Below are 1,212 nucleotides of genomic sequence, written 5' to 3'. Positions count from 1 at the left end.
TGGGTGCCTGCTCCTTCTACTGGGATCTCTGACTTCAAGGGGCACTGACCTGATGGCAGTAGGAGTGCTCCTGTATAGGGTGTCTGGCGACCCCTGTTGGGAGCTCTCACCCAACTGGGGGGCATGGGAATCAGGACCCATTTAATGAAGCACTTTGGCTGTCTCTTGGTGGAGGGGGTGTGCTGCACTAAGGGGAAACCCACTAATCTGGGCTGCCCAGATTCCTCAGAGCTAGCAAGCAGAGAGACTAAGTCTGCGGGTCAACAGAGACCATGGCCACCCCTCCCCATAGGGGCTCAGGTCCAGGGAGATCAGAGTTTTGCCCCTAAGCCCCTGGCTGGAGTTACTGGAGTTCCTACAGGGAGGCCCCACCCAGTGAGGTGGGATGAGTCAGGGTCCAGCCTAAAGAGGCAGTCTGGCCATAGTCTGTCATAGCTGGTGTGCTATGCTGTGGGGAATACCTCTCGGGACCAAGCCATGCAGTCTCCCTGGCTCTAGCAGGGGAGAAATGCAGCCTGGAGCTATAGTGATGGCTGCTGCCGTCCCCCCTCCCCAGGAGTTCAGTGTCTTAGGCAGCTAGCAGCCGGAGTGATGTCTGCCGTCTCTTCCCTGGGGAGCTCAACTTTCTTAGCCAGCTGGCAGCCACAGTGATGATGGCTGCCCCTTTCTCAGGAATCTCAGTTGTCTTAGGCAGCTGGCAGCTGGTAACCACAGTGATGGTTGCTGCCCCTCCCCTAGGGAGCTCAGATGACTTAGACAACAGGCAGGCACAGTGATGATGGCTGCCCCTCCTGCTGGGAACTCTGTAGTCTTAAGCAGATTTCAGCTGAGAGGCTGTTGAGAATCTGTGTGGCTCTGTGGTTGGGACCCAAGGCCCTGGTGGCGTAGGCTCATGAGTGGAAACTTCTGATCTGTGGGTTGCACAGATCTGTGGAAAAAGCACAATTTCTCAGGCTGGGTAGCACACTCACTCACCGCCTCCTTTGGCTGGGCATGGGGGTGCTCCCCTTGTCCCGTGTGGCTCTCAGGTAGGCTGATGCACCATCCTGCTTCTCTTTGCTCTCCGTGGGTCATGCCAACCACCTAGTTAGTCCTGATGATAGAACCTGAATATCTTGGTTGCAGGTGTAGGATTTGCATGCTGTTTTGTTTCTTCTCGGTGGGAGCCTCCGACCATTGCTGCTTCTAGTCAGCCATCTTGACCCCACCCCC

At 56.4% G+C, this 1,212-nt stretch overlaps 1 annotated feature.

Moving 5' to 3' along the window:
• Positions 711 to 1,212: an enhancer, noted in NCBI's record as "H3K4me1 hESC enhancer chr14:96467893-96468394 (GRCh37/hg19 assembly coordinates)". NCBI's record gives its function as "activates a minimal SCP1, AML or CMV promoter by ChIP-STARR-seq in primed H9 embryonic stem cells {active_cell/tissue: H9 hESC(primed)}" and the evidence as "EXISTENCE:reporter gene assay evidence [ECO:0000049][PMID:30033119]".

Source organism: Homo sapiens, chromosome 14 (genome assembly GCF_000001405.40).
Source record: "Homo sapiens chromosome 14, GRCh38.p14 Primary Assembly".
Taxonomy (NCBI): domain Eukaryota; kingdom Metazoa; phylum Chordata; class Mammalia; order Primates; family Hominidae; genus Homo; species Homo sapiens.
The sequence above is the reverse complement of the archived record's forward strand: the minus strand, read 5'-3'. Positions and strand labels throughout refer to the sequence as shown.